This window comes from Homo sapiens, chromosome 6 (genome assembly GCF_000001405.40).
Source record: "Homo sapiens chromosome 6, GRCh38.p14 Primary Assembly".
In the NCBI taxonomy this organism is placed as follows: domain Eukaryota; kingdom Metazoa; phylum Chordata; class Mammalia; order Primates; family Hominidae; genus Homo; species Homo sapiens.
In genome coordinates, this window is record NC_000006.12 from 125,996,524 (window position 1) to 126,019,247 (window position 22,724).

A 22,724-nucleotide genomic window follows, 5' to 3' on the forward strand; every position below is an offset into this window, starting at 1 on the left:
TGCTGTTCATTGTTTATCCTCAGTGTTTCTAGACTTTATCATTGGCATCCACTTTTTTTTTCTTTTCTTTCATTTCTTTTTTCTTTATACTGTTGGAAAATTTTCTGTCATCAGATTTGAAAATTAAACTGTATTTTTAACTAGCATCTTAAATATCAAACAGCTTGTGTTATCTTTAAGCTGCTTTTTCTTCCTGAACATTTTGGCAGATTGCTGAAAACTTTCTGTAGAAATTATATTTGCTAATGCAATGCAAATAAGAATTTACATATATCTAGTTTTATTAACATGGTTAGCGATGTTTTATATCATCATATGTAATTGTTGTATTACGGAATTGGACACAACCCAATATTTAGTTAACTTCATCCTATTGAGAACTACCTGCAGCCTTTAATCTTTTACAGTGAAGGTCGTTAACAGGCCTTATTATGAAATAAAAATGACTAGAAAACAGAAACATAACTTTTAAAAAACTCTTTTTGAATAATTGCTTGTTAGGTTTAAAATAGCCACTGGAGTACTAAGAACTTGTATGCTTCTTTCATAACTCTTCTAATTCATATATTTGATTAATGGCACAATTAACAGTTGTATAATATAATTTTTAATTGCTTTTTATTATCTATATATTTTGTGTAGCTGAGGTATACCTTAAGTGATAGCTAAGTGAGATTAATATTATTGTAGAAGCCTTTTCTCTGTAAATTCAATAGAAAAGGAAGAAATCATTTGCAAAGGAAAAAAATTACAATTTAACTGTATCAGAATGAAGATAGACTTTTATAAAAGCATAGATTCAAAACCAACTTAAATTCAAATTTTTCTGTGTTAGAAGGGATTGAAAGTTAATTTATTATTAACATGAAATATTTTGAGCATGCGACAAAAAGGTGAAAAATATAACAAGTACCTAGGAATATGCCTTATTAGACCTCAACATTTTGGGTAAGTTAGTTACTAAAATTGTGTGTGTGTGTCCATACGTGCGCACGCACATGCATGACAGAGTATCACTCTGTTGTCCATGCTGGAGTGCGGTGACATGATCTTGGCTCATTTTAGTCTCAAGTTCCAGGGCTCAGGTGATCCTCCCACCTCAGCCTCCCAAGTAGCTGGGGCTATGGGTGTGTGCCACCATGCCTGGCTGATTTTTTGCCTTTTTTGTAGAGACAAGGTTTTACTATGTTGCCCAGGCTGGTCTTGAACTCCTGGGCTCCAGTGATCCACCCACCTCGGCCTCCCAAGATGCTGGGATTACAGGCGTTAACCACTGTGCCTGGCCAGCTAATTGTTAATAACATTTTTATTTGGTCATTAGTCTTTTTGTATTATGGAGAAGACATTGGGAATAATTGGCTTTTCTGCAGCTTTTTACCCATTTATCTAAAATAACCGATTCATTTATACTTTGCAAAACATAGGCAATAATCAGTGGAGTGTGCATAAAGAACTAGTAAAATGACTGTATGTATTCCTGTGTGAACTAAGTTCTTTACTGAGGTTAGTACCAATCATTTATTTCCTAGGTCTATATTTGAACTATGGGGTCATGGACAATCTCCTGAGGAGCTGTACAGTTCTCTTAAAAACTACCCTGTGGAGAAGATGGTGCGTAGTAAAATGTGGTTTTATATAGGCATGCGTGCAGATTCTGTAGAATTAAAATACTCAAAAAACTGATTTCCTTTTATTTTAGGTTCCATTTCTACATTCGGACTCTACATATAAAATAAAGATTCACACTTTTAATAAGACATTGACACAAGAAGAGAAAATCAAGCGAATAGATGTAAGTAAATTTAGCAAAACAAAAAACCTACATGATGAATGCAGTCTGGCCATTGTTGATATATAGGAATACCTAATGTCTGTGAAGTGTTTATTTTGTACCACATTTTGTGCTAAGTGCTTTTCATGTTTTATTTAATGTTGACTCCAGGCTTACAAGGTAATGTTATTAGATAAGCGCCATTTTTCATTGTAAATTATTATAAGACATCAGCATTTCTTTTGTTTCTTTTAGGCACTTGAATTTCTGCCATTTGAAGGAAAAGTGAATTTAAAGAAACCGCAACATGTATTTTCTGTTTTGGAGGATTATGGTTTAGACCCAAACTGCATCCCTGAGAATCCACATAATATTTATTTTGGTAGATGGGTGAGCAAGTTTTCTTTCTACCTATGTCAGTTTGTTTTTTTGAAAGCTACTTATTAGGCCTTTTGTTGACTCCTATGTAGAACTTTAAAGCAGCTGAAGAGTCAGAACTACTGAATGGATTAAAATTGGTGAAGAGTATGTGATTATGTTTTGTTTTGTGTTTTCCCAGAGATTCTTAAATGAAGTGCAAGAGGCTTGTTAGATATAGGGAGGAGTTGGTATACCTGGAAATGTTGAAACAAGACTTACCAGAACATCTGGACTGTTTTTTTTTTTTTTGTTTGTTTCTTTTTTTTTATAAAGCAGAGAAAACACAGAGTGCTGTGGTAGTTGAGGAATCTCATTTGTGGAGATTCCCAATCTGGGCCTTCCATTCCAAAAGAAATGGAATTACTGTAAAGCAGTTCTGCCGACTTCTCTGAGGCTTTAAATGGGTGATTGGAAGCTGTGAGTGGAAGTTGTGACTTATGTTAGAGATTATTGTTATGTAGGAGAACAAAGAAATGGGCATACCTTAACACCTACCTCTGGAGTAATTGCATTCAAATGCAGTTCATACTTGTTTTGAAAAGAAAAAGTAAATGGAATGACATTAAGCAATAAAAGGCTTTGTTCATAACTACCTCAATTACATTATTTTAAATAAATAAGTTTAGAGCAGTAATAAGTGGAAAGAAGTTCTTATCAGCAAAATACAATGGTCTTATTGTGAGTGATTATCTTAAGTCTATTCTGTATGGCTATACTAACATAAGAAATATCTCTGATTTAGATTGCAGATGGACAGAGAGAGCTTATTGAGTCATACAGTGTCAAAAAGAGACACTTTATTGGAAATACAAGTATGGATGCTGGTTTGTCATTCATTATGGCTAACCATGGAAAAGTGAAAGAAAATGATATTGTCTTTGATCCATTTGTTGGAACAGGTATTTTTATTTAACTTTTAAGCTAGTGTAGAGATGTTGCTTATTTATATTAATGAAGGTCATGGTAATATTTTTGCTAAAAGAGTAAATGGATAATCTTTTAATTGTGTTTGGATAGTGGCCAACAGACAACCACATACTTGTGTAATAGCTAGTATTTAACACTTATGCCACTTCAAAGATGATGCTGATAGAATTGTATGGGTTTTATTCCAGATAAACCACTAGGAGGGAGCATCCATCTAATTTTTTTGTAGCAGAAAAACTTGCAATACCATACATTGTAGAAATGTTGTAAAGCTGTATAGTTTATTTAAATAGGAAAACTCTTGGTGAAAGAAAGACTTGGATGACAAGATCAAAAAAATGTATTCATCCAGTTTAAATGTACTCATACAGTTTAAATTCATAACTGTATATGTGGATGGAGAAAATAGTTAATATATCCTATCTTTGAGTTGGTTTATGGAGGTTTATAAGTAAGTGTGAAATAAGAAAAGTGTCAAAGTATCAATGGGCTAGATAGCCTGGTCACTGTGGCAGTGACCTTGGTTTTTTGTGCATATGATTGGGATAATTTTTTATGGAAGTCCTAAAACTCCATCTGACTCTGTGCAGACTTTTTCCTACTTCCACTCAATTTTGCTGGATCTTGCCCATACCCAGCAAATACTTGTATTTAAATTTGTTTGACCAAGCTCATTGTGGCTCATTTTGTGGTTGGAGCCTGTCCCTGTAGCCATCTTTCCCCTTGGGCAGTGATGATGCAGAGCTAACGTTTATTGAATAGTAAATGTATCAGGTACTATGCTATGCATTCTGATGCTACTATCTAGTTTAATTCTTACAACAACTAACATGGAGATACTTTAAAAATTTGCTTGAGGAAATTATGGCAGAGAGAAAGGTGCAGTGACTTGGCCAAGGTTATACAGTATATTGGTTTCATAGGATTCAAACTCAAGCAGTCCAACTCCAGAGCTCATGCCCTTAACTTTGAGCTGCCTCTCTCTGCATTGGGATCTGCCAACCAGCTATTACACCATGTACTAACTTAAGGAATATGACCACATATGCTTAGGAAGAAGTAGTATCAAGGTCAATAAATTTCTAATTGATGGAATAACTTTCTCTGTTTATTGTTGAGTTAATTCACTGGTGAGTCTTTCTTCTCTGCCAGTTTCTCCATATCACCTACCCTCAGCATACTCTATATTCTTTTCTTCCCCACTCTCATTATCCTAAGTAACTCACCCCAAATTTTAAACTTTTTATTGGAAATAATATCAAACTTTCAGAAAAGCTACAAGAATAAAAGTAGGACAAAGAACATGCATGTATCCTTAACTTAGCTGTTGTTAACATTTGGCCTCATTTGTTTTATCATTTGTTCTATTTGTTTCTATTTACATAATCTTTTCTTTCCTGCATCATTTGAAAGTTGTATCCATCACATCCCTTTACCCTTCAAGTAATTATTTCTCAAGAATGAGGATATATTCTTCTACATAACCACAGTACTGTTTTCAGTGTTAATAGATGTATTAATACAGTACTTTGATATTCATATTTCAGTCTTGCCAGTTTACCCAGTAATATTAATATTTTTGACAGCATCCTTTTCCCTTTCCTGGCTAGGATCAGGTATTATATTTTGTTGTTAATATTTCTTTGATGTCTTTGATTTGGAACACAGCCAAAGTCTTTTTTTCTTTTATGAAATTTGCACTTTTCAAGATGCTATTTCTCTTCCCTTTATTTTTTATCTAATTTTTTCCTCATTTTGGGTTGTTTGATGTCTCCTCAAGATTAGGATTAGGTTATACATTCCCAGCTGGACCACTACATCAGTGACTTTTGTGGCCTTCTCAGGGGTGTGTACATGATGGCCTTCTGCCCTGCATTGGTATTGGTAATTTTTGATCATCTGGTCTAGGTTGTGTTTGATTTTTTTCTGTTCATAATCATAAACAGTACAATTACTGGTGGTTTTATTTTATTTTATTTTTTTTCTTGCTATTAAGCAATCTGTGGAGAGACACATTAAGGCCATGTAGTATTCTATTCCTTATCCAGTCTCCTCTCACCACTCAGGTCGTCAGGTTTAGTAGCCATTGATAATTCTTTCCTGAACCAGTTTTTACTTTGATGGTTTCAAAGGGATGATTTTCCAACTCCAGTGCTCCCTCCACAGTTACAAGTCGACATTCATTATTCTACTGTAAGCAAAAGCCCTTTCCTCTCTTCCATGTATTTGTTTTTCTATTTGTTATTAATATGAACTAATGGGTTCTCCTTTTTAACCCCGATGGTCTATAATTCATTATATTTCTTAATTTTCTTAATTACTTTTGTTCCTCAAATTGTGATTTGCCCAGTGAGAGCTCTTTCACATTGAATCTGTCTTTGTGACATGTTCCTATCCTTTTTTCTTTGGAGTACTTCCTTACTTTCTCTTCTATTTGTTCAAGCTCTGGTATCAGTCATTTTTCCAAGGAATTTTTGTTTCTTTTAGCAGGGAAATGAAATCTGGATTATAGATCCTTTCAGTGGACAAACTAGAAAATATATATGCATATATACACAATATGCATGTAAGTGCATGTGCAAATATACATGTATTTATTCTTATATACTGTGCGTATGCACATACACATGCATATACGTATTTTAGACACTGTGAATTTGCACATATACTATAAATTGCAGTCAATCCTTACAGATTTCCTTTTGACTACCCTATTCTATGTTTATGTGTACCTTCTTCCACAGTGAGAACCCTGATTCCTAGCTACATCAACACATTTACTCTTTTCCTCATTCCTATATCTGAAATGGTTTCACAGTTGTTTTGCTTATGCCACTTAAAAATATCCTGTGAATAAGAGTTCAGGATGTGTTTTCAGTTCTTCACCCTAAGGGGCAGTAAAGTCAAATACTGTGCCTGCTTTTTCCCTTTTCATTTAAAATTCATTTGGGTTCATTTGTTCCAGTTTGCCCTCTGTTTTAGGTTTTTATCTCCTATCCCCCACTCCTTATTGATTTACTTTTATTTTCAAATATGTATAAGATGAACTTGCTTCCAAAAGTCAGAACTACACAAGAAGTGGTACTCAAAGAGATGTCACTTTACCTTTATAACGCTTCCAGCCTGTTCTCCCACCTATCCTAGGTGACTAACTTCATTGTTTTCTAGTTGATTCTTCCTGTTTCTTTTTGTAATGATAATACATTTTCTGATTCATAATGGAATATATACATTTTCTTATTTTCGCTACTTTCTTACACAAAAGGTATCATACTGTGTGTGTTGGTTTTAACTTTGCTTTTTTCACTTAATGGTATTTCCTGGAAATCACTTCCTGTCAGTTCATGGAGCTTATCTTTATTCTGTTTTAGTTTTGCTTCATGAGTGTATGTACCGTAATTTATTCAAACAATCTCCTATAGTTGGACATCGGTAGTTTTCAGTATTTTACAGTTACAAATAATGCTTGAAATGACTAACCTTATGAATATATACCTTTGTAATGTTGGAGATGTAGCTCTAGGGCAAGCTTATCCAACCCGCAGCCCATGGACCACATGTGGCCCAGATGGCTTTGAATGTGGCCTGATACAAACTTGTAAAGTTTCTTAAAACGTTATGAGAATTTTTGCAATTTTTTTTAGCTCACCAGCTATCATTAGTGTTAGTGTATTTTATGTACAGCCCAAGACAATTCTTCTTCGAATGTGGCCCAGGAAAGCCAAAAGATTGGACCCCTCTGTCCTAGGGTAAATTCTTACAAGTAGGATTTCTGGGTTGAAGAGTGTATGCATATGCAGTTTCATTAGATACTGCCAAATTTGTCTCCATTATACTATTTTGGATTCCTACCAACAGTTGTAGGAGAGTCCCTGTTTTTCCACAGTCTCACCAGCAGAGTATATTTCAGGCTTTTGAAGTTTTGCTTGTTCTGTTGGGTGAAAAATGATATCTCAATGTAGTGTTAATTTGTATGTCTATGGTTACGAATGAAGTATCACAATTTTTTATATTTTAAGGGCCATTATGACTTTCTTTGATTTGTCTTTTTTTGTCTTTTGCCCATTTTTTGATAGCATTTTTGGTCTCTTTCCCTGATTTTTCAAGGTCCTTTGTAAGCTTGAGATACAACCTCCTCACACTCCCCTTATTTTTCTGTGATGTATGCTGCAGTATTTTCCCTTAGCTTGTCATTTATCTTTTGACTTTGCTACTAATTGATTTTTGCCATGCAAAAGTTTTCCCCACACTCAAGTTATAGAGGAATTCATTTGTGTTTTCTTCTAGTGCTTTTGTAGTTTTACATTTTTTCTTTTTAGATCTCTGGTTCATTTGGAGATTATTCTCCAGTATGATGTGAAGAATGGATTTAATTTACCTTTTTCCAAATGCTAAAGCTTTTATTCTTAATCTTGTTCTTGGACTTTAAAAACTTTTTTTGTCAATTGAGAATAATTCTTTTAGATATATACATGTAGAAAATGATTAATATATATACATACACATAGACTAGACCACAGAGTTAAAAAATATGGTTGCCAGTATGGGTAATATTTTTTTGTTGAGTAGATGAGGCTAGATTTTGAAATTATCTTCACAGCTGTCAATATATGGACCATTTATAGTGTGTTGAGGGGCAAGGAGACCTGCTTCTGTTTGCTTTAGGGCAGCTCCTCACAGTGGGTAGTATATTTGGAACGTCTGACTGTTCATATAGTACAATTAATAGAAAATGAGAGGAGGATCTTTGCAAAGGTGCTGCTGAAATATATTTTCGTAATTTGTGTTTGTAGTTTAAGTATAGCTTTAGGACATCAGTCAATTTTTGGTGCTTTTGTTTTGAAACATAATAACCAATAATTGTGAATAGACACAGGTCTTAAGCACAGTTTGTCCTCTCTTGGGCCTTTTGCCTCATCGATGGGTGGTACCTTCTGAAGGACTGGAGAAATACGTAGCTCTGTGTCCTTCTCCATGGCCATAGTTTTCACAAAACATTTGTTGATATTTTTCTTTTGGTTGCCTTTTAAATAGTTTTTTAAAAAAAATTCATGTGTCTAATCCCCTTTTTATTTTAAAGGTACAAAATTGAAATGTATGTAGTTTCCCAAATGTATTGCTCACTTACTACTCATGGTTCGTGATTTTTCTCAGGGATATAGAGTAGGGTAGAAAGCTTCTGGGAGACTGAAAGGAGAAAAATAATCTTTTCATGCCTAAATACTTTTCCTTTTTTCCTTTAGACTGTTTGCTACTGTTGTTTAGAATGACATTATGAGCGGCAGAAACACACTTTTCTTTCAATTTTAACAAATACATTGGTTTTCATTTTAGTAAAAATTCTTTTTTTAAAGTGTGTGTCTCCACTTTCCCAAAGGGGAAGAGACATAGCATTGTGTCATCTCTTAGTTGTTAGGAAGTGCTACTATTCTCATGTGAGTTTGGCTAAAGGAATGATCATCATGAATTTATTGAATACCTATTAATGGCACAGCCCTGTCTGTGATACAGTACAAGACTTGTGAATGGCATATATAACACTCTTATTAACAGAGTGTGTAGCTTTACTTAATTTAATGTAATTTGTTTAGTAGCATATTTTGCTTTTGTTTATCTAATTGGTGAGTGAATATGTATTTACTTCAATTGGTGCTAATCCCAAAGGAGGTAGTATGATATAAAGAAAAGAATAAATAGAGCAAAGTTTAAATCTTTTTACCAATTAGTATGTGACTTTGGGCAAGATTCTTAACTTGTCTGGGTTTCACGTCTATCATTTGTAAAATGGTAATACTAATATATTGTGAGGATTAAGTGAGGCAATATGTGTATATCATATTTCTAGGAAGTTGCCTGACACGTGGTAGACATTTAGTGAACTGTAATGGTTATCATTATTACTTTTTGATTATTATTTTGATGATATTTTAGATGCCTTTTTGGTGAAAGATGTTAGATGTAGCTAATATTAAATGGTGATGATAAAGAATTTGACCATAAACTCATTTTCTAGTACTCTTTTTGGCTAATTTCCAAGATATTAGTAATTTGCAACTGTTGGCAGGTTATAGCAGCAGGCAAGGGAATTGAAATATAAAATTATAAATGTCAAATTCTTTGTTTATAATTAATATGTGCAAGTGGATGCCAGTTGCTTTAGGTAGCACAGAACTCTGCAGCCGTAGATCTGATCCCCTCTCATCCCCTCTGTCAAGTGAGTCAGCTCCTCCAGTAATGAGAATTCACCCAGAAGACTAATGTATACTCCTTGGCCATGTCTACCTTCAGATGACCCATAGGTGGAAGGAAAGGAGTGTAGCTCCTTTTGAAGTTTTATCATTGTAAAATAGTGGACGCAGAAACCAGGTGTTAAGGAACTGACTGTCCTGGTTCTGGGAAGAGAAAATGGGGAGAAAAAGAGAAGGTTAGGAGAGTGAGATAATGGATCTCTGTAGTTTATATAATATTCTCTTTCGCATTTTTTTCCCACTACCCTTTGTAGTCCCCTTTTCCTGGAATCCCATGGTTCGTCTAGTAGGAGTCCCATTGTCTAGCAGTATTCTTTTGCTCGGCCTGCTAATTTAATTTATTTAAGTAGAATTCTTTTTTTAAAAAAGATAAAATAGATGCAATAATATTGCCATTTTTCTTTCTTTTTTTTCTCTCAGCAAAACCAAAGCCCAGTCTCTCATTTCTCCACGTTTGCAAAGCTTTCCAGTTAGTTCTTTAAAGATGAAAATCATGAATTAGTTTTTACATCATGGAATAAATTCAATTCTTATTGTATTATTTTGCCTGTAAGATACTACCCTAACCTTAAAGTGCTTACTATTTAAGTAATGAGAAATTGAAACACCGAGTTGCTAGCATAGATCACATATGCAGTATTTTTACTTTTGGTAACGCAAAAAGAAATGGGTGAGTCATGTTACTTGCCTCCTTGACACTTCACTCTCCTTTTTTTTTTAGCACCCCTTCTTCCACCAAAAAGATCCCCTAAAAAACTCCAACTGAGGTATAGCTAAATGTAAAAAGTGCTTCAATTTAATCAAAAGAACAACTAGATGACTACCAATGATTACCCAGTGACCAGTTCAGATAAGCTAATTTATTATGATTTTATTTAAAAAAAAATAAAAGCTTAAAGGGCACGAAGTTAAGTATCAGGTGCAGTCTAACAGATTATTCATCTCCTTTCAGCAGTGTACTTGTAAATTGGGTCTTCTCAAAACTCACTCTAACCAAATGGATAAGGTTCTGTTAAGGAAGCACAGGAAAGCTTTTCTGTTCCCCTTGACAACTAGTTCTTCTAGGTGAGTATCTGCCTTAATTGGCAGAATTGTAGTAATTCCTTGTAATTTGGGTGAAGTGACTTTGTGAGTATTCCAAGTCATCACTTATGCTGCTTTTTCTAAATATGGAATGTTCCATTTCCAGAGTCAGAATTATGAGGACTTTTTAACCTTCCCTCTCACATAAATGCTTTTTGTAGTTAGTATGAGAGGACATAGGTTTTGGTTTCTGCTGTACTTTTAGTCTTTCATTTCTCTTCTTCATGGGTTCTAAAAAGAACTAGTCAGTTATAATATTTTCATGAACAAAGTATTTTTAATTCCATGCTACCAGACTATGTTTTAAATGGCTATGGAAGGAACATCATTAATTTATGGATCTTGACCCTCCAGAGGCACTACCCATCTTAGTTACAGAGATTACATCTCAAAAGGTTATAAGGGAAAGAGCCCCAGTATTTTTTCCCCTTGTCCAAGTCTGTGCATATTTTGTAGTTGAAGAATATATTTATGATTTCAGCTTGACTAGCAGGCCTTCCTAGAGTATAGCTAATTAAGACTTGCCCAAGCACTAAAAGCATTTTAATTTGAATGATTAAAAAAAGTGAATTTAATTAAAAGTACAATTATTAAAAGTTCAGTTAATTGTGTACAATTTTTTCTTAATTTAAAAATAGTATTACCTTTCATTTTAAAGAGTTTCATTATTATTTTAACCTTTATTAAGATTTCTCTTCATGCATGAGCTGGTCACATCTGTCACATTACTTTGTCTGGTCAGATTGTATTGGGACAGTTGTTCTTACTTTGGTCACAGCACTAATAAAAACAGTTTATTAATTATTTTGTGCATGTTTGATAATAGTTACTCAGAAATTTGTATTTACAGTTTAAAACAGGAGATAATTACTTGATTGGTTACAGGAGTAACTATATTAAAATAGTTAATTCTTACAAAAATTAAAATATGTCCTAACCTTTTAATTTCTGTAAGAACTAATGTCTCACATAGTAATTATGCCCTATTTGTTTGAAACTCTGACTTCAGTGGGAATTGAGCCTAGTCATCAGAATTTATTCTGTTTATTGCCAGCTCTTTGTATAAACAGCCTTATATGCTCATTTTTAAGAAAGGAGCAAAATGTTTTTGTGTAGAGCTCTAAAAATAAGATGAAAATGTCTAAATATACATTATTTTGACCAAAAAAAAGATAAAATAGTGCTGTTTAAAATAATGATGCCAGGGTATACATTAATTTCTCTACTTTGTTACCAGTTTAGTGACTATAGCTTAGGGGTTTGTTTTTTCAGTCCTGAGGCTTACTAAATATGTTACGACCAATGTCATTCCAGGATACTCTGCCTGCAGCTAGTTTCTAAGACTGGATGAAGTTAAATAGGAACAAACAGGAGTTTGGGACTTACTGGTTAACAGGTCAAAATTGTGTGATTTTTCAGGTGGCCTGCTGATAGCATGTGCTCATTTTGGTGCATATGTGTATGGGACAGACATAGACTACAACACAGTTCATGGCTTGGGTGAGTAGAGATTATAGACAGTATTATAGTCATTGCTGTGGTGCCAAATGTACCTTTAAACATACAGTTGACCCTGGAAGAACACAAGTTTGAATTGCACAGGTCCACTTATACTCAGATTTATTTCCATCTCTGCCCTCTTGAAACATCAAGGCCAATCCCTCCACTTCCTCTTCCTCCTCAGCCTGCTCAACATGAAGGTGATGAGGATGAAGACCTTTATGATGATCCACTTCCACTTCATGAATAGTAAATCTATTTTTACTGAATAAAGTAAGTATAACAGTAGGCTGTTAGTAGTTAAGTTCTGGGGGAGTCAAAAGTTATATGCATATTTTTGACTGTGTGAGGAGTGGGCACCCCAACCCCATGTTGCTCAAGGGTCAACTGTAGTTTTATATGGCATTATTTTAATCTTCAAATACAAAATTGTGATATAATTTTACTTGTTTTTATAAGACTTCATTGGGTATCTACTTTTATGATCCATTGTGTACAGAGTGATTTCCTGGGGGAACATGAAGGTGAATGAGAAAAAGTCCTGCTCTCAGAGGGCTTTAAGGAAGTGCAGGAAAGTGATAACCCAGTGACCAGTTCAGACCTATAATTTATTAATTATAACTAATTAATAAATATACATGATAATGAAACATATTTGGTTAAGATTATCACCACTCATTTAAAGATTATCACCAAAATTATTCACTAATCATACATTGACTATATACTGGATTAATAACTAGTCTTTGAGGTACTATTTATGTTTCTAATTTTATAACTGACCAAAACCTCTTTAAAGTAACTTTAAAGATTCTGCCTTGAACTGAGAGTACTTGAAACAGTCATCTGCTTTACTTTTCAGGTAATTATGGAAAATATTTTAAACTCTAGAAGCTTCAATAATGATGTGTGATTGGATGGAATTGAATCAAACTGAAAAAGTATTTCCTTATAGCTTAATGGTATTGAAAATGTCATTTTATTGATGATTTTGAGATTATTTGTGTTTATGTTGGTATTCATTATAATAACTGGGATCAGCCCTTATAATACTCTTTTCCTTTTCCTCACCCAGTATAAGTTATTGTATTGGTGAGCATTTATTATACTTTATTTTCTTTTGTGGAAGTAATTTGATATCTTGTACTGGTGACCTGTCTTTTTCCCTACCTTGACTGTAAAGAATTTAGTAACATTTATTAGGAAAATGAGTTATAATTTATTAGGTGTATATAAATGGGCTAGCAAGAAAAAGATATTCTTTATCTGAAATCTGTTTTAAAAAGTACTAAGAATTATTCCAATTTGCTTTTAGTAGAAGCAGTATATTTCTTTTAAGGAAATTGTCTTATATAATTTACTTGAATTTTTATTTATTAAAGTTATGTTTGGAAACTTATGTTGTAACCTTCAGTCTACTGGGGTAGAATTCTGATTGAGGTAGTTCCCTTAGAGCTTATCCAAGATACTGTTAGGTATACCCTCTGTTTCCTGTGGTTCTGAACTCTTACTTTATCCTAAAATATTCTCAAGTTTCTCCTGTTTTAAAAGTACAAAACTTTTTTTTTTGGCAAATCTGTAGAGGTTCTCTAGCTACCACTTTGTTTTCCTTTTCCATTTGCCAAAATGCTTCTTGAAAAACTAGTATAACTTCTTGTCTCCTCTTCTTCATCTTTCACTCTCTTCTGGCCATTATTTTCCAGCTTCTGTGCCTATCATTCTGTTGAAAACGCTAACAAAGGCCACAGATTTATAGCATTTGACAGTGTTGACCTTCATACAGCTGCTCTTGGTTTCCTTGACAGTGGTCTTGGCAGGTGGTACTTTTACTTTTTTGTTTCTTCTCAGTCTACTTGATGCCCTGCAATTTTCTTTGATTTATGTTTATATATTGTTTTTTTCCAGGCGTCTACCTATCTTTGAGCACTTCTCCGTCACACTGCATGTTTTTCAGAGTCATGTCGTTCTTCTTTTGATTTTATAAGAATAATTATAGAGCAAACATGTAACTGCCTCCTAAGTGAACAAAAAGAATGTTATTCAGCCTTATGGAGTCAGTATAAGATTATATGCTGATAACTCCAAAGTCTGTATATTCTGGCCTTCAACTACCTGCTGAATGTCCCCACTGCGTATCTTTTTCTGAAAGTTCTGCAGGTACCTCAAGGTACATCAAGATTGATATATCTTAAATGAATCTAATCTTTTTTCTTAAGCTTGTTTTTCTTCCTGGTTTCTCTGATATTAATCACTGGTGTCATCATCCTAAACTATCATGTCTCCTAAACAAGGAACTTACGAGCTTCTTTAGCCTTCCTTCCACTCCCACTTTAACTTTCATTAGCAATGTCTCCATTTTGCCTCCCTTCCTCATGGTCACAACTGCGGCATTTCCCAAGTTCGCTCTCTTCATTTCTGTTTCATTTATCTGATTCATACTATCTCTACACAGGACTGTTTACTGCTGGAAGAAAGGAACCATATTCTCTTCAACTCTATCTTACTACAAAAATCTTCGTACTTGAAAATATCGAATGAGTGTTTTAAGGCAGTTTTACTTGGAAGTTGACAGAACAAGATAAGTTAGACATCAGTACATTTTACTGTTATGTTGAAATTAAAATAACTATTTACTTGTATACATAAAATTAAGATTTTAAATGAAAGCAAATTTTGAATAAATGTAGGTTTCAGTGAGTTAAAACATTACTTTTCCTAAATGACAGAAAATAAGAATACTCTGTTTAATACTTTCTCTCTTCCTTTTTCTTTCCCTTCAGGAAAGGCTACTAGGAAAAACCAGAAGTGGAGAGGACCAGATGAAAACATTAGGGCCAATCTTCGTCAATATGGTTTAGAGAAGTATTACCTTGATGTCCTGGTTTCAGATGCATCTAAACCTTCCTGGAGGAAGGGCACATATTTTGATGCAATCATTACTGATCGTAAGTTTATTTTTATACAAAAGTAGGAGTAGGATTCGTTTTGTAAAATCATTTACATTTAAAGTACAAAATTTACCAACACATGCACAAAATGCCAACTTGTCAGTATTTCTCCCATCTACCCCCAGCTTCTTCATCTTGTAAGGAGAAAGTTATGAAGGTACTTAACTACCTTGTTAAGGGCTTACTGTTTTGTTTTTTTAAACAAATATATTGGCTTGCCATCCCCTGTTATATCCTTTTATATTAACTTGTCACCCGTTTTTCCCTTCAGCTTATTTTTTTGAGGCATATATTTAGTATTTGTTTTTGTATTGACTATAATTGGTTATTATACCAACTGGAGCTCACATGTCATTTGCAATTATGGTGTCAAATTTTGAACAGAGTTTCAGATATCACACATTTCTCTATGTGTAAGCATTTGTGTTTTTGTAGTGCCTGTTTTCACTGGCATCTCCTTTCTAGCATTACAAGAAATTTGGGGTTCTGTGGAACCACTGGGCCTGTGAACCTACTGAGCTTCAGGAATGTGCATGAAAATTTATTTTCCCATGCCTCATGAGGTCGTGAGTTTTTTAGGCAGCCTATCTAAGAATAGATCTGCCTTTTCTATAGTATTTGACAGTAAATCTGTAAAAAGTGGCAAAGTTCAGCCCTTCTATCTCAGCTCTCTTTAGTTCTTTACTAACTTAGATTTTGTCAAATGTAATGTAACAAAAGAAAAATTATCAAGGCCTTATGGTTTCAGTGTGAATATACTTTATGAAAATTTAGTTTTTTTTAAATTAACAGTTTGCTTTATTATTTGCTCTCCCACTCTGTGTTTACTTATATAAAATACATTTTTTTTTTCCGATCAACTTGAGAGTAAGTGGTATACATTGTGGCCTTTTACTCCTATACTTCAGTGTGTATTTACTAAGAATAAAGATAGTCTCTTAGCAAAAATACAGTTATCAAGTTCAGTAAATTGATAAAATACTTTCATCTACAGTTTGCCATTCAGTTTTGTCAACTGACTCAGTAATAGCTTTTATGGCATATATTCTCCCTCTAGGACAGGATCTACTCTAGAGTCAGGTATTGCATTTCGTAATGATATCTTTTAGGCCTCCTTTAATTTGTAACACTTCCACAGCTTTTCTCAATGACTTTTATGACATTGACATATTTTAAGAAGACAGTTGCTCCTCTCCCAAGTCTTTATGTTGTACATTTTCAGTTGGATTTGTGCATTGGTGATGTTGTGTTCTTCTCAGGGTGTCACATTTGAAGGCAGCATGGCTGTTTGCCCTTGATCCATGATTTGGTGACTTTTGACTATCTGTGTTACCTTTGTTTTCTGTCTAGCTCCATATGGTATCAGAGAATCTACAAGAAGAACAGGTTCACAGAAGGAGATACCAAAGGGGATAGAAAAATGGGAAAAATGGTAAGTGAAATTTAAATATGATGTGTTACTACCTTGAGAAGAGGCATGTGGCTTCCCCGTTAACTTAGCACTCTTAAAATTTTTCACTGATTTTGAAATTTTCTTTTCTTTGTGTAGTCCAGAAAGCCATGTTCCTGTTTCCTTGAGTTATCATCTGAGTGATATGTTTCTTGACCTGTTAAACTTCGCAGCTGAGACCCTCGTTTTAGGTGGAAGACTAGTCTATTGGTTACCGGTGTATACGCCAGAGTATGTAATCTTAATTTTATTTTTAATTTCATTTTTCTTACAATGTTTGCGTATCTAGTATAATTTTCTCTTTATCTCTTCTTGCATTTGGTGCATCTTTATATTTAATTTGTAATAGCCTTTGTTTGCCTTCAAATGTGTATAAAATAGTCTTTTTATTTATTTAGTTTTTTGAGACAAGGTCTTGCTCTGTCACCCAGGCTGGAGTGCAGTAGTGCAATCGTGACTCACTGCAGCGTTGACCTCCCAGGCTCAAGTGATCCTCCCACCTCAACCTCCTGAGTAGCTGGGACTACAGGCATGCGTCACCATGCTCAGCTATTTTTTATTTTTATTTTTTGTAGAGGTGGAGTCTCACTATGTTGCCCAGGTTGGTTTTAAACTTCTAGGCTCAAGCAGTCTACCTGCCTCAGCCTCCTGAAGTGTTGTGATTATAAGAGTGAGCCACTGTACTCAGCCTCCTTCTTTTCATCAACTGAATTGTTTTGACCTTGTTATTTTATATCAGGGGTTGGCAAACCACGGCCTATGGGCCAGATATGGTCCTCAGCCTGTGTTTATAAGGTTCTTGAGCTAGGACTAGTTTTTAGATTTTTGAAGTGTTGTTAAAAAATATCCACACAAAATAATGTGTGACAGAAACATACAGTATGTGACCCACAAAATCTAAAATATTTACTCTCTGGCCCTTTATAGAAAAAGTTTTGCCAGCCCTTATTGTACCCTACACTTAGCTTAGTACCTATGGATCACAGCTGTTTTATAGCTCTTTTGCCAGTCTATAGATGTAATTTTCAACAGCTTAGCTAAAGGATTCACGCTTCTGCTACCTTCTAATGCTAGCTTTAATATATATTGGCTATTATGATTATCTTAAGTACAATAAATCAAAAGCTAAGACCAAAATAAGAGCTGTGCATATATTTAAAGCCCTGATTATGTTCAGCATTATTGCTTTGAGTTTTGTTATTCAGTAACTATTAAATATAAAGCTATATATATTAACAGTAAAAGACAAGACGTTTGAACAAGATGGAATGTTTAAATTTGAAAGGTATTGCCAAGCTCAGTAGGTTATTTCTTCAATCTGACATAGATATATTTTTAATACAATTATTTTAATTCCTATATTTGTATTTGTATTTTATTTTATTTTATTTATTTTTTGAGACAGGGTTTCACTTTGTCACCCAGACTGGAGTACAGTGGCACCATCTCAGCTCACTGAAACCTCCACCTCCTGGGTTCAAGCGATACTCCCACCTCAGCCTTCCGAGTAGCTGGGATTACAGGTGCACGCCACCACGGCCCGCTAAGTTTTGTATTTTTAATAGAGACGAGGTTTCACTGTGTTGGCCAGGCTGGTCTTGAACTCCTGACCTCATGATCCACCCACCTCAGCCTCCCAAAGTGTTGGGATTATAGGCGTGAGCCACCGTGTCCGGCCAATTCCTATATTTATTATACATAATTATACAGTGGTAACTGTCTTTTTCTACAAAGATTGGTAGTCCCTCAGGCTTTGGGACCCTCAGCTATTTCTTGTTGTTTGTTTTACAAATGCTGTATTTAAAATTACCATGGCCTAACTCTAGTTATGCATTTCGTTATCAGCTGATAAGAGAGAATACATTTGTACCCAGATCCCTTAACACTGAGTTTTTTTTTGTTGCTAATGATCATCTCATTTAACCTCTTTTAGAAATGAGGAAACTTAATTCCAAGGAGTGAAATGACCTATCTAAAGTTAAAAGCCAGCTAGCTAATTTGTTTCCTTATTCCCAGTGCTGTATTCACTTAATTCGACATCCTGCCAGATCTCGTATACTTAGTACATGAAATGATAGGTGAGGTTTTATTAGTATTTTCAGATAAGAGTATATTTGTTCATGTCTTTGTAAAAAGGGTTGCTGCCTTAGCCAAACTGAATTCCAGCAACAAGCTACTTGCTTTTTGTTTAATTCAAGTTGTAGGGCTAAAATAAAAAAAAAAAAATACTGTGAAGTAATTTCAAACTTACAGAAGTTTCAAATACAATACAGAAAACTCCCATCTCTACCCTTATCCAGATTTTTCCAATATTAACATATATCTACCTCCCCCCGACTCCTGCACATATCTATTATCACTAATCTTTTTTTTGAGATGGAGTCTCACTCTGTCACCCAGGCTGGAGTGCAGTGGCATGATCTTGGCTCACTGCAAGCTCCGCCTTCCGGGTTCACGCCATTTCTCCTGCCTCAGCCTCCCAAGTAGCTGGGACTACAGGTGTCTGCCACTGCGCCCAGCTAATTTTTTGTATTTTTTTAGTAGAGACAGGGTTTTACCATGTTAGCCAGGATGATCTTGATCTCCTCACCTCTTGATCCACTTGCCTCGGTGCTGGGATTACAGGTGTGAGCCACTGCGCCCAGCCTATCACTAATCTTTTTGAAACCATTTGAGAAGTTGTTGGTATGGTGCCCTCTTACCTCTATATATGTCATTGTATTTTTCAGAAACAAGAACATTCCTATCTAACCATGATCCACCCTGCAAGTCTGGAAGTTAGCATTTATAACACTATTCCATGCAGATCAGAGACACCATTCAAATATTACCAATTGCAATCCATGTAGGAAACTGTGCTGTAATCATCTATCCTATCCTTTTTTGGTCTTCTGTGGTCTGGAATATTTTCTGTCTTTCCATATCTCTTGTGTCCTTGGAAGTTTTGTAGAGGACATGGCTTATATTCTGAGTGTTGACTCTCAACCGGGGCCATCTGATGTTTCTTCTATGACCAGAATGAGGTCATGCTTTCTTGGTAGGAATACCACAAACATGATCTTTGCAGCACATCATATGGCACACAAAGCCACTCCTCCTGGTAATGTTAACTTTGATTGTCTGGTCGGGCTCTTCTCTGTCAGATTTCTCCTCTCTGAATCATCATTTTCTTCTTTGATTTGTATTTTATGGGGAAATAAGATTACACTAATATCTTGTTTTTCATCAAACCACTACTCAGATTAATGACTCCATTGTTGACAGCCACTTCTGAGGTGGTTGCCAAGTGATTCTTTTTTCCATCATTTCTTTTGCATTTGTAAGTTGGTATTCTGTAAGAAAGAGCTTTTCTTTCTGCCCCATTTACTTCATTAATTTATTTATAGTGGTATGGAGTCATGGATTCCTATATTATTCATTGGGTTGTAATTTATTAGTAGCAGTATTTTGTTGCTCAAATTGTCCCAGATTTGACCAGTGGGAGTTTGTTTGAGCTGGCTCTTCTGTCCTTTTGAAATATCCTCAGTAGTTTTTTATGTAAGTCCTTCCTTTTTAGCATATCTGACTGTTCACTGTTTTGCAGTTTATTATTTAATTATAATCAAAATCATATGTGGTTGAGAATTTATTTTGGAGTTCTTTTATTCCTTTATAAAAAGTAATATTGGAGGTTCTTTAAACTGAATGTATTTCTAAAGACTTTAAAAAGTGGCCACTGGATATTTCTTCAATGACTTCTCTATTTTAGTAATTTTAGATGAGGGAAGATTTCCAAATACATATAACCAAAGTGATGTTTTAGAAAGGGAAAAGGGAGACATGTTTTAGGGATTTTTTTTTTTTTGTCTTAGATGTTTTATCAATGGATAGATTTCTTCTAGTTACGTGTCTAACACATGTGGGAAGACAATGGTGGCATTTATTTCCCTGAGTTTTTGGCCCCTGGAGAGGGTTATTTTCAGATCCCCTGATGTTCATTATTAGACCTCAATTGTGTCTTCTCTCTTTAAGCCTAAAGCGATCTTATTAATTATTAATAGTGAACTAAATTTGTCTTGAGTTTATGCTAGAAACATGAACTGTTTTCATATTCAAGGTCTTTACTCTTTTGAAAATTCTTTACTGTTTTGAAAATAACACAGTATCAAGATGAATTTGAGTCTAAAGTCATCTGTAAAAGTTTGAAATAATATTCATTTGAATTAAACAGTTTAGAATAGTTTAACTATGTTATATTGAAAATGTAGCTTTATATTGGACCGGGAATAAAAAGGAATTCAATTTACAATTGTACCTTAGTGTAGCTTAATTTTAAGTCTTTTGTATTTTTGGTGTGGTGAATGTAGGCTATTAGTTCTATTAATGAATTAATTTACTCTCAGCCAAACCCTGTTATATGATTCAAGTTACACATTATAACCAAGTTCAGGTATTATTTTAACCCAGGATTGATTGAAAAGTATAAGACATAAAAGCAAAATACTGCGTAAAAGCTTAGTTGTATATGGAAAATTGTGAGAGCTAATGATTGAAAAGGATTTTCTCACTGTTTGACAATTTAAATTGCAGTAAAGAAACTGCTACTCAGAAACTTCTGCTGTTCTTTTTCCTTCTAGTCTACACTCTCCCCACTCCAGTATATCAGACTTTTTGCCAGCATCAAGATACTCTGTGCATTTTATGTCTTTTCACTTTTGTTTATTCTGTCCCCATTGTTTGAGATGCCCTTTCTTCTTTCCTCAACTGGTAAAAATCTAGTCATTTTTCTAGGCCTGGCTTAATTGTCACCACTTCTGTGACACTTTCTCAGATACTTCTCAGCAGAATTAATCAGTCCATCCTCTGTGCTCTCATAATAGCTTGTTTTTACTGCTTATAGAGACTTAACACATAAAATTACTGTAGACTGTTGGTATTTGTGAGTTTATTATTTACAATTTTGACTACTTACAAATGACCCAGATTATGTGTTGCAATCATGTGTACAGGGCATCAATCCAGTGTGTACACATACAATCCAGGTGTTTGATGTCATAGGAGCCAGTGTGCTACTGAGTGAGTGTAGCTGTTTGCCCAGGCTCCATATATCCATTTAGCTTTATCTAATTTCATTGTACACAGATAACTCTTGAAGTGATTAGAAACAGTGTTTCTTTATAAATGATGACCTTTATAGAAATCCAGCTGCTAGTGTTAGTGATAACATGATGACATACTTATATTAAAATAGCACATTGTACCCCCCAAATATGTACAATTATAATTCATTAATTAAAAATTTTTAAAAAGGTGAGAAAGAAGCTAATAATGTGCCCCAAAGTAGGACTTGGAAATAAATTTTGATTGTAGTAAGGTGAACTTTGCAGTGCCTATAATGAGTGAAGAGAACATGTTTTTCATCTCTTACTTAGGAAAGAGGAAAAAGTGATTTTTAAGCTGTTTTTAGTAAATGTTCAATCAATGCAAAATCTGTTTCTCAAATGGGAGCTGAAATTCTAGTGACATTTGGGAAGTAGTTGAAGCAGGAAGATTCACAGGAAAATGAGTGACAGTCAAAATTGATTCGTGGAAAATCTAGGGGCCTATGTACACAATTATTTTTTTTTAATTGACATAGAATTTGTATACCATGAAATTCACCCCCTTAACGTATACAACTTCATGGTTTTTAGTTTATCCACAAAGTTGTGTGACCATCACCACTAGGTAATTCCAGAACATTTTCCTCACCCCCGAGAAGTACCCCACAGACATTAGTAGTTACCACCCCCCTATCTCTGTCAACCACTTGTCAATCTCTGTGGATTTGCCTATTAAGGATGATTTAGTTTTTAAATAGATAACTTGGATTGTAGGGGGATATTAATAAAAACAGGGAATTAAGATGGGATTTAGTACTGTCATAATGGTCCAGGCAAAATATAGATTTATGCCTTCTACTTAACCACTTGCGAACATTCCATTGGAATGAAATATATTGGTAAATATACAGTGAATAATTTTATTTTACTTTATTTTATTTTTTTTTTGAGACAATTTCGCTCTTGTTGCCCAGGCTGGAGTGCAGTGGCGTGATCTCGGCTCACTACAACCTCCACCTCCCAGGTTTGAGCGATTCTCCTGCCTCAGCCTCCCAAGTAGCTGGGATTACAGGCATGTGCCACCATGCCTGGCTAATTTTGTATTTTTAGCAGAGACGGGGTTTCACCATTTTGGCCAGGCTGGTCTTGAACTCCTGACCTCAGGTGATCCACCTGCCTTGGCCTCCCAAAGCACTAGGATTACAGGCGTGAGCCACCACGCCCAGCTGAAGAATTTTTTAACTGCTATTTTTTAATCTTTTTAGTATGGTGCTTTGGGAGTGTATTGTTAAATTA

At 34.6% G+C, this 22,724-nt stretch overlaps 1 protein-coding gene across 68 annotated transcripts in view; it reads left to right on the forward strand.

Moving 5' to 3' along the window:
- TRMT11 (tRNA methyltransferase 11) overlaps nt 1–22,724 on the forward strand; it is a 285,804-nt gene that overhangs the window by 9,984 nt on the left and 253,096 nt on the right. For 46 of the 68 annotated variants that reach the window (XR_007059327.1, XR_007059304.1, XR_007059310.1 and 43 more), the window contains exons 4-11: nt 1,530–1,611; nt 1,700–1,792; nt 2,027–2,161; nt 2,934–3,090; nt 11,869–11,949; nt 14,730–14,894; nt 16,248–16,329; nt 16,447–16,578. Coding sequence is in view for 19 of the 68 variants with exons in the window: in NM_001350581.2 (NP_001337510.1) it covers nt 1,530–1,611; nt 1,700–1,792; nt 2,027–2,161; nt 2,934–3,090; nt 11,869–11,949; nt 14,730–14,894; nt 16,248–16,329; nt 16,447–16,578 (927 nt within the window). In the remaining 49 variants the exon portion in view is untranslated. Of the gene's footprint in view, nt 1–1,529; nt 1,612–1,699; nt 1,793–2,026; nt 2,162–2,933; nt 3,091–10,087; nt 10,432–11,868; nt 11,950–12,133; nt 12,223–12,811; nt 12,912–13,854; nt 14,117–14,401; nt 14,895–16,247; nt 16,330–16,446; nt 16,579–22,724 lie in introns of all 68 variants that reach the window. The other 22 variants (NR_146797.2, NM_001350597.2, NM_001350595.2 and 19 more) reach the window with 15 other exon arrangements.